The 14,191-nt window shown below is 44.8% G+C and overlaps 2 protein-coding genes across 7 annotated transcripts in view, besides 2 other annotated features; one reads left to right on the top strand and one right to left on the bottom strand.

Moving 5' to 3' along the window:
* The window catches only part of MEIOB (meiosis specific with OB-fold), a 38,179-nt gene extending 30,772 nt beyond the window's left edge, over window positions 1-7,407 (top strand). The window contains exons 12-14 of one of the 2 annotated variants that reach the window (NM_001163560.3): window positions 1,955-2,138; window positions 3,523-3,609; window positions 7,027-7,407. In NM_001163560.3, the coding sequence (NP_001157032.1) occupies window positions 1,955-2,138; window positions 3,523-3,609; window positions 7,027-7,137 (382 nt within the window). In that variant the 3' untranslated portion in view covers window positions 7,138-7,407. The remainder of the gene's footprint in view (window positions 1-1,954; window positions 2,139-3,522; window positions 3,610-7,026) is intronic. The other variant, NM_152764.3, reaches the window with a different exon arrangement.
* On the bottom strand, window positions 1,186-14,187 carry FAHD1 (fumarylacetoacetate hydrolase domain containing 1). 5 transcript variants are annotated; one of them, NM_001018104.3, is made up of 3 exons: window positions 13,528-14,187; window positions 3,259-3,377; window positions 1,186-2,131 (listed from the first exon to the last, which is right to left on the bottom strand). In NM_001018104.3, the coding sequence occupies exons 1-2, from the start codon at window positions 14,152-14,154 to the stop codon at window positions 3,267-3,269; spliced, it is 738 nt and encodes a 245-aa protein (NP_001018114.2). In that variant the 5' UTR covers window positions 14,155-14,187; the 3' UTR covers window positions 1,186-2,131; window positions 3,259-3,266. The 5 variants fall into 5 exon arrangements, with proteins under 5 accessions (NP_001018114.2, XP_047290685.1, NP_001135870.2 ...); XM_047434729.1 differs by having other exon boundaries at window positions 11,868-14,170; NM_001142398.2 differs by lacking the exon at window positions 3,259-3,377.
* Window positions 8,251-8,545: a silencer, noted in NCBI's record as "tiled region #12541; HepG2 Repressive non-DNase unmatched - State 2:TssF". NCBI's record gives its function as "represses a minimal TATA promoter and a strong SV40 promoter by Sharpr-MPRA in HepG2 cells {active_cell/tissue: HepG2}" and the evidence as "EXISTENCE:reporter gene assay evidence [ECO:0000049][PMID:27701403]".
* Window positions 13,968-14,157: an enhancer, noted in NCBI's record as "active region_10240". NCBI's record gives its function as "activates an Ori minimal core promoter by ATAC-STARR-seq in GM12878 lymphoblastoid cells {active_cell/tissue: GM12878}" and the evidence as "EXISTENCE:reporter gene assay evidence [ECO:0000049][PMID:35858748]".

Genomic DNA, 14,191 nt, shown 5'->3' with positions numbered 1-14,191 from the left:
TTGAGTCCAGCCTAGGAAACATCAAACCTCTTGTAGATCGAAGTTAGTATTTACTTGCATAGAAAGTAAACTGCAGGCCGGGCACGGTGGCTCACGCCTGTAATCCCAGCACTATGGGAGGTCGAGGCAGGTGGATCACCTGAGGTCAGGAGTTTGAGATCAGCCTGGCCAATATAGCGAAACACCATCTCTACTAAAAATACAAAAAATTAGCTGGGTGTGGTGGCGGGCACCTGTAATGCCAGCTACTTTGGAGGCTGAGGCATGAGAATTGCTTGAACCCAGGAGGCGGAGGTCGCGGTGAGCCGAGATTGCACCATTGCACTCCAGCCTGGGCGAGAAGAGTGAAACTCTGTCTCAAAAAAAAAAAAAAAAAAAAAGAAAGAAAAGAAAGTAAACTCCAGTAGATTTAATACTCTTAGCTAAAAGATGCTTGGCAAGAAATGTGTAATATTATTAGGAAAGTCTCTCTATGGATTTTTATAACTGAATTTTCATTGAGATAATCCTAGATTCACATGGATGTATAAGAAATAATAAGAGGGCTGGGCGTGGTGGCTCACGCCTGTAATCCCAGCACTTTGGGAGGCCAAGGCAGGTGGATCACGAGGTCAGGAGATTGAGACCATCCTGGCTAACACGGTGAAACCCTGTCTCTACTAAAAAATACAAAAAAATTAGCCGGGCATGGTGGTGGGCGCCTGTAGTCCCAGCTACTCGAGAGGATGAGGCAGGAGAATGGCGTGGACCTGGGAGGCAGAGCTTGCAGCGAGCCGAGATTGCGCCACTGCACTGCACTCCATCCTGGGCGACAGAGCGAGACTGTGTCTCAAAAAAAAAAAAAATAATAATAAGAGAGATCCCTTGTGGCTTTTGCCCCGTTTCCCCCAGTGTTACCATTTTGCAAGTGATAGTACCATGTCACAGCCAGGATATCAACACCATTCAATCCACTGGTCGTATTCAGATTCCTCCAGGTTCACATGCAGTCGTGTGTGTGTGTTCTCATTAGTTTTATCACACTTGTAAGTTTGTGTATCTATTGCCACAGTCAAGATATTGACCTCTGAATTTTTAAAACATTTTATGATGTGGTATTAAAGTTGAAAAAAGTAATGTGGAGGATGCTGTGTAAGGCCTTGTATTCATTTTTTGAAAAATAGTTTTCAAAAATTGAAAAACTAATTTTTTTCCTGTACATTTATTATTGATATCTGAGGAAAAGCATCTAAAATTTGCTAGACCAAGTGATCTGTGGCTAGATAAGAAACCACTATCTTCAGTTCATTTCCCCTATTTGAGAAATTTGAATTAGTTTCCCTGTTTAAAATTGCTAAAGTAAGGCTTGCTTCAGAAATATGGAATAGCATAAATCACTGAAAGAGAGGAGAGTGTATCACCAGCAGTGTTAATAGCATCTGGGTGCTACCCGGCCAGCCTTGCAAGGCTTTCTGTATTTGTAGAGAAGGCCCCGTGCAGGCCCATCCAGTGAGCAGCTGTTGAACTCGTGCTTTCCAGGCACAAGACACAGTTCCTGCCCTCAGAACTCCCAGCCAGGGAGGTGAGAATAAGGAGCTGATGCAACAGCACCAGTCAGTCCTGAGGCGTGCACTCTGCTGCTGTTCCAAGAGAGAAAGGCTGCAGGCTGGGATACGAGAAGGGAGGGCCCCAGCAAGGAAATGAGACTGGGATGGACCTCGAGGGCTTGGCAGAGGGAGGGAAGGAGGGCAGGCAGAGGACTGGTGTACGCAGTTTCAGATGACTCCTGAGAATGGCTGCGTAGAAAGTGTGTTTTACTGTTTTTTACGACTGTCTTGTAGACCGCATAGCACTGAACACTCAGTAAGTTTTCCACACACTGTCGTAGAGTTTTTAGTGACAATTCTTTTTCTGCTACAGATGAAATTTGTAGCTTAGGGCATCACATTTTATCATTGTCTTTGTTTCTTTTCAGTTCCAGCTGTGGTTATATTGTAAATGAAGCATCTAACATGTGCACAACTTGCAACAAAAACTCCTTGGACTTTAAATCTGTCTTTCTCAGTTTCCATGTGCTGATTGATCTGACTGATCACACAGGCACCCTTCATTCCTGTAGTCTCACAGGAAGTGTTGCTGAGGAGACTTTGGGCTGCACGGTAAATAGCAAAAAGGAAGAAATGTTTAGAATATTTCCAAAGTGAATGCTTTTTCCCAAAAAAATATAGGTTGTTTTGTCAAACATTTGATAGAAATTGATTCACTAATAAACAGCCTGGGAAAAAATCATCTTGCTTTAAACACACATTGCTTTGATGAACAAATGTTACATATTTTATATCAAAATCCTAGCTAATATTTACTATTATGAGTAATGACTGAGGCCATTAGCCTAAATGGATAAATAAACATGATGTTTTAGGGCTGGGCACCGTGGCTCACGCCTGTAATCTCAGCACTTTGGGAGGCCAAGGAGGGCGGATCACTTGAGGTCAGGAGTTTGAGACCAGCCTGGCCAATATGGCGAAACCCCATTTCTACTAAAAATACAAAAATTAGCTGGGTGTGGTGACGTGCACTTGTAATCCTAGCTACTCAGGAGGCTGGGGCACGAGAATCACTTGAGCCCAGGATGTGGAAGTTGCAGTGAGCCAAGATCACGCCACTGCACTCCAGCCTGAGTGATAGAGCAAGACTTGTCTCCAAATAATTAAAAAAAAAACAAAACACTAAGGAAACATGATGTTTGATATAGTCAAGTAACGATGGGTAAAACAACAAGTCGGAGATGTTGATCAGTCATAAGGTGGTTTTTCTAGGAAGATTTGGCTGTGTTTCACCTACTCAGTTACATAAAGTCAGCTACACGTTTTCTCCTTGATTTGCAGCTATACAACAGCAGCAGATACTTAGGGATTAGCATGTGCATTTGGCAATAGGCACCTGTTTTTTATTGTTAAAACCAGCTCATGAAATTTACCATTAGACTTTAGTTCCAAATTCTGCTTCCACTTTATTGAGGGGATTTTTCCTTGCTGAGATACCTGATTACCTTTGGAGATTTTGCTTATATAGCCTTTCCTGCCTTATCTTCTCTATCAAAACAGTTGAGTTGGCTGGGCATAGTGGGTCACACCTGTAATCCTACCACTTTGGGAGGCTGAGGCAGGAGGATCACTTGAGGCCAGGAGTTCAAGATCACCCTGGGCAACATAGTGAGACCCTGTCTCTACAAAACATAAAACATAAAACAATTAGCCAGAGAAGAGTAGTGCATACCTGTAACCTCAGAAACGGGAAGCTGAGGGAGGATTGCTTGACCCCGGGAGTTCGAGGCTGCAGTGAGCTGTGATAGCACTGCTGCACTCCAGCTTGGGCGACAGAGTGAGACCCTGTCTCTACAAACAAAAACAAACGATTGAGCTGTAATTACTGCAAATAAAATTTCATTTCTAATGAGAAAGTTTGTTTCACACTGTTGTCAAAAATGAATTTTCTTTGTAAACTTCAAATATATTTGTCTCATATTTTTTTTTTAACCAGGTACATGAGTTTCTTGCAATGACAGATGAACAGAAAACAGCATTAAAGTGGCAATTTCTCTTGGAAAGAAGCAAAATTTATTTAAAAGTTAGTGCATTTTATAGTCCCATATTATTCTATATATTTATTATTCTGTATATTCAAACCATAAGAAAAACCTAGATAAATTCGAGAATTTATTATTTCTAATGCCCAGTTCCCAGATGTGCATAAGGATTCAGCTATCCTAAAAGCAAAGGAAATAGCCAGGGGTTTTTTCATATTGTATAAAGGAGTTACCAAAGACATCAAAGAAAATAGACCAACAAAGAAAATATCCTTTAAGGTTAAATCCAAAACAGGGGAAAGGGCTTTAAAATCAGAGCTGATGGGTGCAATAGTACACACCTGTAATCCCAGCTACTTGGTAGGCTGAGGTGGGAGGATCACCTGAACCCAGGAGTTTGAGGCCAGCCTGGGCAACATAGTGAGACCCCTCTCTTGGCCCCTGAACCCCAAAAGGTCAGACTAGGTTGTCCCCACCCCCACCCACCCTGTGGTGTTCCCTTCAGTTAGTGAGGCAGTGTAAGATAGCACAATTAAGTGCTTGGGTTGTTGCGGGGAGACAGATTTGGTCTGAATCCTAATCCCACCACACCTCAGCCTGTGAGACCCTGCAGAGGTTAATTAAATTTGCTAACCTGCAAAATTCCATGATCCTCCAACCCTGAAGGGCCACAGTTGCCTCCTGAGGCACTTCAGTGTTGGAGGATCCTCGAGTCTTTGTGTTCAAGGTGTCAGAGGAGGAAAAGTGCAGTGAGACAAACTCCCCTATTGCAGATGAGAAAAGTGGGACCAAGAAGTGTTGCCACTTGCACTGGGTCACAGGTGAGACTGGACCCAGCCAGCCTAGTTGCTTCACTTCATGGTTCTCAACTCTTTTCTCTTGTATTCTCCCGCAAGTTAATGTGCTCCCGTTTGTGTGGTTATATCTACTGATACTTGCTGTACTGCAGCTTAATACTGAAAAAATTTTAAAACATTCTAGAGCACACATTCCATTTGTGTCAGACTAATGGTATCATGGAGCCTCTAGAAAACATTGCGTGCTGATGAGAGAATTAGTGTTATTATGAAATTAGTTTTCATCTCATGGACATCCTGCAGGAGCATTTGTGAATGCTGCATCTCCTCCATCTCAGCCTCATAAGCAGGTTTTCCCATTTTCCATGGCCACCAACACATCTGAATAGTTTGCAGACATGGAGTCTCCAGTGGCCTTAGCAATATTTCTAGGACCTCGGCTTGAGGCCTCTTCACTACCAGGCCAAAGGCAGTAAAGTTGCAGTAAGATGCTGCATCTCTTCAACAGTTAGCATGGGCCCCTAAATACTGTCTCTTTGCAAGTCAGGGCATGCTTAGGTCCTTGACCGACCCTGTATACTTTCCCTCCAGACAGGAGGCACCACTTGCTAATGAGTCTGATCAACTTAAGTTCATGGGAACTTAAGAGTTTTCTAAATTTGATTCAAATACAACAATGAATGACCCTCAAGTGGATACTGCACTTTCCCAGAGAATGTGTGTAACAGATGTTCCAGGTGGCTTTAACAAATATTCATAATTATGGACAAGCTGCTTCGTGCATTAGGTAACACAGTATTTTACAAATAAAAAGATGTAAAATCCAAAACCAAAATCCAAAAACCATGATGCATACAAAAATAACACATGTTGAAGATTTAACTCATTAATTAATGAGGGGACCAGTAAGATATAGGGGAGAAGAAGGATTCAAAGGGGAATTGGTTCATGACCAGCCTGTCCAAGATGGTGAAACCCCATCTCTGCTAAAACTACAAAAATTAGCCAGGCATGGTGGCAGGTGCCTGTCATCCCAGCTACTCAGGAGGCTGAGGCAGTAGAATTGCTTGAACCTGGGAGGCAGAGGTTGCAGTGAGCCGAGATCTCACCACTGCACTCCAGCCTGGGTGACAGAGTGAGACTGTGTCTCAAAAAAAAAAAAAAAGAAAAAGGAATTGGAAGAATAGATACATAGGCAGGCAATGCAAAATGCTGAATGGGTTTGCTTGTAGATGAACCTCTGGGCTCCTCTATAGGGCAGAAGCAGTGCATCTTCACTCAGACAGACTTCATGGGGATTCCATGAGCAGGGTCATTCGAATCACTGTCAGCTTTCTACAACCTAGTTCTAAAACAGCTCAGTCCGTGCAATGGGAGGTGTAGCCCCTGTAGAATCAGACAGCTCTGAACGTGTTCTAGCCAATGTCAGACTACCACAACATTCCATTGAAAGGGTACCCACTTATTGTTATTGCCCACTTAAAGTCTTTCCCAGTTTTCCCTGATGTTGGTACTTTTTTTTCTCTCAGTCTTGAAATTAAAGTGGTTGATATGTCCTTCCACTCTATATTAAATAAAATGTTGGTTAAAGTGCTGTATAAATTATAAAAAATAAGACTATTAAAATAAGACTATTATTAAATTATGTCATCATATTCCTGTAGTCTCACAGATTGAGTCCCTGCTACAGCTTAAAGTCTATCACAGTTGGTAGTTTGAACACACATTAAGCCCTTTTTCATATGTTATACTTTTTTTTTTTTTTGAGACACAGTCTCACTCTGCTCGCTCTGTCACACAGGCTGGAGCACGTGGTGCGATCACAGCTTACTGCAGCCTCAACCTTCCCAGGCTCAAGTGATCCTCCCGCCTCAGCCACCGAGTAGCTGGGACCACAGGTGTGCACCACCACACCTGGCTAATTTTTATATTTTTAGTAGAGACAGGGTTTCACTTTATTGGCCAGGCTGGTCTTGAACTTCAGGCCTCAAGTGATCTACCTGCCTTGGCCTCCCAAAGTGCTGGGATTACAGGCATGAGCCACCTCACCCAGCCCTGCATTAGACATTTTTTTTAGTGGGGGGGGGTGGGGGGGACAGAGTTTCGCTCTAGTTGCCCAAGCTGGAGTGCAATGGCACAATCTCTGCTCACTGCAACCTCTGCCTCCCGGGTTCAAGGGATTCTCCTGCCTCAGCCTTCTGAGTAGCTGGGATAACAGGTGTGTGCCACCATGCCCGGCTAATTTTTTGTATTTTTAGTAGAAATGGGAGTTTCACCATGTTAGCCAGGCTGGTCTCGAACTCCTGACCTCAGGTGATCCACCCGCCTTGGCCTCCCAAAGTGCTGGGATTACAGGCGTGAGCCACTGCACCAGCACCCGGCCACATTAGACTTTTAATCCCAACTTTCCTACCTGAGAGAAATAGCATGAAAAGTGACAAAATTTTTACAAAATCAGTCAGAAGCTGGGCCTGTAAATTAACTGTACTCCGAGACTGGAACTCTTCCCATCATCTTACAGCTCTAATGGAAGTTTATATTAGTATCTGTAAACAAAACTTTCATTGCAGTTCTCTATTCGTGATCATTGATTTTTCAACTTGATATACAAGGGGATTTTAAAAATTAACCTTTTGTCTCTTTTTCTGTTTCTCCTCGCAGTTCGTTCTATCACACAGAGCAAGGAGTGGATTGAAAATTAGTGTACTCTCGTGCAAGCTTGCAGATCCTACTGAGGCAAGCAGAAACTTGTCTGGACAAAAACATGTTTAAAACGGTCTATCATTTTGAACTCTGGAAAAGTATAAGAGTTTTAACTCCCTTTAAAATGGAATATTAATTTGAAAATTATGGGGAAAATTGCATTTTGTTTACATGTGGTGAACATGTTTCTAGAAATTGTTATGGTGGAGGTGGTCTGGGTGAGTCTGAAGGCCTCTCTCATCTGACCTCCCTTCTTAGAAGGCCTCCTACTGTCTTTGCCTTGTCTCCTCCCAAGTTGGAAAATGTTTACATGAATTAATAAACAGATTTAATCTTCTACAGATTTGAATGATTTATTTTCTTTTCCATGTAGTTGAACGGCTTTGAGTGAGTTTCTTAATCCTGAGTGAATGATTTATTTTCTTAAGCCAGTTTATTATTTGTCTTGGTTCCCTGGAAAAAGAGTAGGACCTCAAGGGCTGGGCACGGTGGCTCATGCCTGTAATCCCAGCACTTTGGGATGCCAAGGCAGTCAGGAGATCGAGACCATCCTGGCTAACACAGTGAAACCCCATCTCTACTAAAAATACAAAAAATTAGCTGGGTGTGGTGGCACGTGCCTGTTGTCCCAGCTACTCGGGAGGCTGAGGCAGGAGAATCTCTTGAACCTGGGATGAGGAGGTTGTAGTGAGCTGAGATCCAGCCACTGCACTCCAGCCTGGGCGACAGAGCGAGACTCTGTCTTAAAAAAAAAAAAAAAAAAAAAAAAAGTACCTCTAAAGACTACTTTCTGAGAGCTGGGTGGTGACTCGTCATCTGACAGATCTGACAGGATGAGGGCAAGGGGCTCTTGGTGCTGGGTGGGAATAGCCAAAGTCGTGGGCAATCCTGTGCGACTGCTTTGAGCACCTGGGGCTCTTCTAGTCCCTGGTCTTCTCTGGTGACACACTGGAGTGCCCAGTGCTTGTGGAGGCTTGCTGGCTCAGGGCTGACATGACTGAGTCTGAATCAACTGGGAGGAGACCAACTTCAAAAGGTTCATGAGCATGCCTGGGTCTCAGAACTCTGAGGGGGACCTACTCAGGACATGAGGACGACAGCTGCCACTTTATCTGTTTGCTTTGCAGCAGCCACAAAGTAAACGGCTCAACTGCACACCATTGAGAGTCACTTGCTTCAGGGCGCAGACTCCAGCTGTGAAGACCCACCGCTAAGGTCAGTGTTGACCCACGGCCTGGGAGGTTTGACCTGGTACTTTAGAAGGCTACATGCCCTCCACCACAGGATTGAAAAAAAAGGAAAAAGTGAGTATATGAAACTGTTTCCTAAGGCTGGTGTTGGGAGATAAACCATCGTCAGTCATGTTTTATCTGGCTTTTACCATGTGCAGCCACAGAGGAGGGATGCAGGTTCACCCCTAAGTGTCCAAATTGTGGTGATAAGGTAATGAACGACTTGACCTAGTTGTGCAGAACAGGCCTTCCATCCTCCCTTGGGGAGAACTGGGGGGTTTGTGAAGCCAGGTGAATGGGGAGGGTGGACAGGGAAGGAAGGAGAGGAGAGAAGTGAGGGTGTCGTGGTTGGTGCTGGCTTGGCTCCCACTGTTGGTTCAGCAAGAGTGGGTATGGTGCCCCCTCCACTGAGCCCCGTGTCCAGGAGCTCAGGAGAAGCCACCTTACTCGGTTAATTTTAAAACATTTTGTAGAGACAGTGATCTTGGCATTTTGCCCAGGCTGGTCTTGAATTCCTGGGCTCAAGTGATCCACCCACCTCGGCCTCCCAAAGTGCTGGGATTACAGGCGTGAGCCACCGTGCCCAGCTGACACTTATATTTTTAAGAAAAAGAGGAAAATAGGCCAGGCGCGGTGGCTCACGCCTGTAATCCCAGCACTTTGGGAGGCTGAGGTGGGTGGATCACGAGGTCCGGAGATGTAGACCATCCTGGCTAACACGGTGAAGCCCTGTCTCTACTAAAAATACAAAAAAATTAGCCGGGTGTGGTGGAGGGCGCCTGTAGTCCCAGCTACTCGGGAGGCTGAGGCAGGAGAATGGCGTGAACCCGGGAGGCGGAGCTTGCAGTGAGCCGAGATCATGCCACTGCAGCGTGGGCAACAGAGCAAGACTTTGTCTCAAAAAAAAAAAAAAAGAATGACCATAGCCATGATGCCCAGCCTTAGCTGGGGTGTCGGTGTAAAGGTATTCTTAAACAGTCTTGTCAAGTGCAACATGGTAGTTTTTTTTCCTCTGCAATTTGGCAAAAAGTGTCAAAATTTCAAAGTGCAAACCATTTCATTGATTTCACTTCTAAGACTTCCCTAAGGAAACAAACAAGTGCCAATGATGTAGAGCAGCGGCCCAAACTTTTTGGCACCTGGGAATGGTTTGGTGGAAGACAGTTTTTCCACGGATTGCCGGGTCGGGGGGCGGGGATGGTTTCAGGATGAAACAGTTCCACCTCAGATCCAGGCATTAGATACTCATAAGGAGTGCGCAACCTAGATCCCTCGCATGTGCAGTTTACAAAAGGGTTCACGCTCCTGTGAGAATCTCATGCCACCACTGATCTGACGGGAAGCAGAACTCGGGCGGGAATGCTCACTTGCCTCCTACTGTGTGGCTCCGTTTGTAACAGGCCACGGGCTGGTAGCAGTCAGTGGCCTGGAGGTTGGGGGACCCTTGCTGTAGAGTATATGGAGGATGCCCCTTGCATCATTGTTTCTAATAGCAGAGCATCTGAAAAGTGTGCAATCTGTCGGGGATGCTCCACCCAGAAAATCTTCACTTGCTGAAGTCCCTCAGCTTCTATGAGGGTCAGAAAATTACCTGAGGAAGCTATGGAAAGGGCGGGGAGAGCAGATTCTGGTGCCAACAGACTCCTCGCTCCAGAGCTTCCCCTTGGGTTCACCAGCTGACTGAAGCTGATATCCAGCCCAGAGACCACTTTCTTCCTTGGAGTTTGCTCCCTGCCCTTTCTGCTTCATTACGCTTCTCTTCTCCTGAGAGCACTCCTTCAGCAAATCACGGGAACAAGAATCCCCATCTTAGGCTGTGCTTCTGGGGTACATGATCTGAGATACAGCCATTAAAAAGGGGTACCTGTACTTATATTCACTGACCTGGAAATATGTTCGTGATATATTAAGTGGATGTGTAATACTCATTTTTTTATAAAAGGCCAATCAACATGTTTTAAAAACACAACAGAAGAACAGATGTCAAACCATATATTCTGTACAGACTAATACACTGTGGAATTATTTTCTTAAGCGTGATAATGGTCTCATTTCCATGTAGGAGAATATCCTGATTCTTGGGAGATGTATGCTGAAAGGGAAGAGTCTTTCTGCAGTCACCATCCCGACGCATTTCCAAAATATGGGTGTGTGTGTGTGTGTGTGTGTGTGTGTATAGAGAGAGAGAGGTGCATGTCTGCATATATACACATATATGGCGGGGAGGAAGGGAGAGACGTAGGACCAGAGGACAAACATAGTGAATGCTGGTAATTGTTGAAACTATTAAAGGGCATATGGAGTTCATTGTATTGGTTTTTAAACTTTTTCATAGGTTTAAATGTATTCAAAACGTGGAAAAACGTTATCTTCTGAATGCTAGGATTACTATGATTTTAGCAATATCAGGAATTGTCGGACTTGGTGTCTCTGTTTTTGATTCTTGCATCTAAGGACTTTGTGTGCCTACACCTGCAATGCTGATGTCAATGTTTGTGACAAAGCTTGTTCTACCACTGTGGTGAACACTGACCCCAGGGGCACTGTACTCGGTGCTGGCTTGTGCCACCTACTAGGGCTGCATGTGAGCACTGCTTCTACTTTATAACTTTGACTTTAATAGTCTGTCAACTTGGTAGCTATATCTCAGCTGAACCGTGTACCTGGTAGCAGACTAATAATACACTTCCAGCATGAGCACGCCCTTTGATCCAACTCTTCCACTTATGGGAACCTAGCCAAAGGAAAAAACAGCACATGTGCTGATACTAGCAAATCATTAGAGACAATCTCAAGGTCCAAAAATGGAGGCTTGACTTCAGAATCTTATGCAATCCATGAAAGTTGTACTGCAGAAATGTGTCAGCTAACAAGGAAAAAGATGGTCACAATATACAGTGAAATAAGCAAGTTAAATAATTGTATGGTATAGCTGGGCACGGTGGCTCATGCCTGTAATCCCAGCACTTTGGGACGCCCAGGCGGGTGGATCACTTGAGGTCAGGAGTTCGAGACCAGCTTGACCAACATGGTGAAACCCTGTCTCTACTAAAAATACAAAATTAGCCGGGTGTGGTGGCGTATGCCTGTAATCTGAGCTACTTGGGAGGCTGAGGCAGGAGAATCACTTGAACCTGGGAGGCAGAGGTTGCAGTGAGCCGAGATTGTGCCACTGCACTCCAGCCTGGGCAAAAAGAGTTAAACGCCATCTCAAAAAGAAAAAAGAAAGAAAGAAAAAAAAGAAAATTGTATGGTATGAGCAAACTCTATTTAAAAAATTACAATTATATCCACAGACTTGGAAGAACTTGCAATAAATGCTTAACTTTGGCTGTCTCTGGGTAGATGAAATTTTTGGTGTTTTGTTCTAATTGCTAATCTCTATTTTCTGACTCTTCTGTAATTACATGCATTGCCAAGCAATGAAAAAATAATACTAAAAGTAGTTAAGATAGCATGATACTTAATAAAGAAATCCAATTATGGCACTTCCTCATACTATATTATAATTTAAGCATGGGGTTGCAGCATACCTAAGTGTCTGATTCTTCTTATGTATCTACTTACAAGATGCAGCCTGCATTGTGGTCAAAACTTCACGTTCTGGTCTTGGGGGAGCTGGGTTACATCTCGGCTCTGCCACTAAGCTGAGTGACTTTAGCCAGCCTTCGCAGCCTCTAGATCTGTCTTCATCTGAGTAATGGGGATGGTAGTGATCATACTAAGCTTATGGCTTGGTTGCTGGTTACATAACACGTGGAAATACAGAATAAACTGCTTGGCATGGTGCCTAACAGTACTGTGTTCAATACATGGGGACCGTTACTACTCAATCAGATGTCCTAGGCTTTCTTCAGGGGCCAGCAGATGATGTGAACGCGAACAGGAACCCCTGCCGAAGCCCAAAGGACTCCTCCAGGCATTGACAGCTATGCTGTGCATCTTGCCTGGATGTTTTTTCAGAGGAGGGTGCAGGCAAGAGCAAAAGCAGCAGTCCCAGGCTATTCAACTTCCACAAAGCCTCCTTATCTCCGGTTGGGAAGTACAGTTGCTGATTAACTGTGTTAACACAGCACAGTGCTCAGAAGGCCAAAGGTCAAAGACTAAGGTCTGAAGCCCCACAAGGAGGAAATATCCCTCCTCGTCATTACTGGGGGGAAAAAAATTACCCTTGTAAGCCACTTAGAAGGGAGCACCTTTATTTGGAAAACAGTAATTTCAAAATCATCTCCCGAACTCAGAATCGATGGGTCTGGGTAGATACCCTAAGTAAACAGGTGAAATCTTCATTACTTGTTCACTTATTAAGTAAAATTTTAAATTAACCGATTATGTACAGGAGTGTTTTTCACATTTCCTGATAAGAATCACTTGGAATGCCCTGTAAACACAGCTTCACTGGAGATTAATCCTATCAAATTGATTCAGCAAGTCCGAGATGGGCCAGTAATTTGTGGAGATTTTTATTTTTACAAATGCTTCCTGATGATGACCAAATCTAAGAAAATTTGGTAAACAACGGAAAGTTATCTGGAACATAACTTTCAGTTTTCTCTGCAGTTTTTAAGTGCTGAACTACTGATCATCCTAGAGATAACCCACTGAAAAGTCTTCTCTAATCCAGTTTTACAAAAGGAAAGTCTTTTTAACATTTGGTTTGATAAAATGTTTTCCGAAGAAATACTTTACTTGCCTGTTTTCATTTCTGGCCCACCCGTTCTACTTCACGTTTTCTTGAAGGGTTCATCTTCTATGAGTTGAGGCATAGCAATCTAATCATTTTTAAAATAAATGGTTTCTTTTTTTTTTTTTTTTTTTGAGACGGAGTCTCGCTGTTGCCCAGGAGTACAGTGGCGCAATCTCAGCTCACTGTAAGCTCCGCCTCCCGGGTTCAATTGATTCTCCTGCCTCAGCCTCCAGAGTAGCTGGGACTACAGGCGCCCGCCACCACGCCCGGCTAATTTTTTGTATTTTTAGTAGAGACGGGGTTTCACCCTGTTAGCCAAGATGGTCTGGATCTCCTGACGTCGTGAGCCGCCCGCCTCGGCCTCCCAAAGTGCTGCGATTACAGGCGTGAGCCACCGCGTCCGGCCAATAAATGGTTTCTAATTAAAGGATTGTGACATTTAATAGCCGTTGCTTGCTCTTGTCTTGCTCCCTTCTCTCTCGAAACTTGTTAAGAAATAACTCAATATTCTGGCTTTTCCACTTTAAATGTCATACTGACCAGCCCGTGTATGCCAGCCTCGATCTCATCGTTTTCTTTAACCGGTCCAACTCCCTTTGGCGTCCCAGTCAAGATAATATCTCCTTCTTCCAAGGTTATGATCTTAGAAACATAGCTGATGATGTAGGGGATGGAAAAAATCATGGAGGATGTCTCACCCTCCTGTCTGAGTTCGCCGTTGACCTTGAGCCAGAGCTTCAGCTTGTGAGGGTCAGGGATCTTCTCCTTGGGCACGAACGCGCTGACCGGGCAGGACGCCGTGAAGCTCTTCGCCAGAGTCCAGGGCAGCCCCTTCTTCTTGCACTCGTCCTGCACGTCCCGGGCGGTCATATCCAGGCACAGGGCATAGCCGCCCACGTAGTCCATGGCCGCAGCCTCGGGGACTGCGCGGCAGCGCTTGCCCATCACCACGCCCAGCTCCAGCTCGTGGTGCAGGTTGCGAGTGTACGCGGGCATGAGGATGGGCGAGCCCTCGGGCGCGTAGGCCGTGGACGGCTTCAGGAACAGCACGGGCTCGCTCAACACCGCGCTGCGCATCTCCCTGACGTGGTCCGCGTAGTTCCTCCCCACGCAGACGATGTTCTTTCCCCACTCCCAGAAGCGGGACAATGGCCTGGATGCTGCCATGATTCCCATCAAGTGCCCCTGTAGTCACGTGGGCTGG

This window comes from Homo sapiens, chromosome 16 (genome assembly GCF_000001405.40).
Source record: "Homo sapiens chromosome 16, GRCh38.p14 Primary Assembly".
NCBI classification, from domain to species: Eukaryota; Metazoa; Chordata; class Mammalia; order Primates; family Hominidae; genus Homo; species Homo sapiens.
The sequence above is the reverse complement of the archived record's forward strand: the minus strand, read 5'-3'. Positions and strand labels throughout refer to the sequence as shown.

Bases quoted from the DNA above. Each gene is read 5' to 3' on its own strand.
- FAHD1 (NM_001018104.3), bottom strand. From the start codon at position 14,154: ATGGCAGCATCCAGGCCATTGTCCCGCTTCTGGGAGTGGGGAAAGAAC. The intron at 3,378-13,527 runs GTCAGTATGACA...TTTTGTTTGTAG, and splicing joins AGGCTGGCATACACGGGCTG to AGACAGGGTCTCACTCTGTC.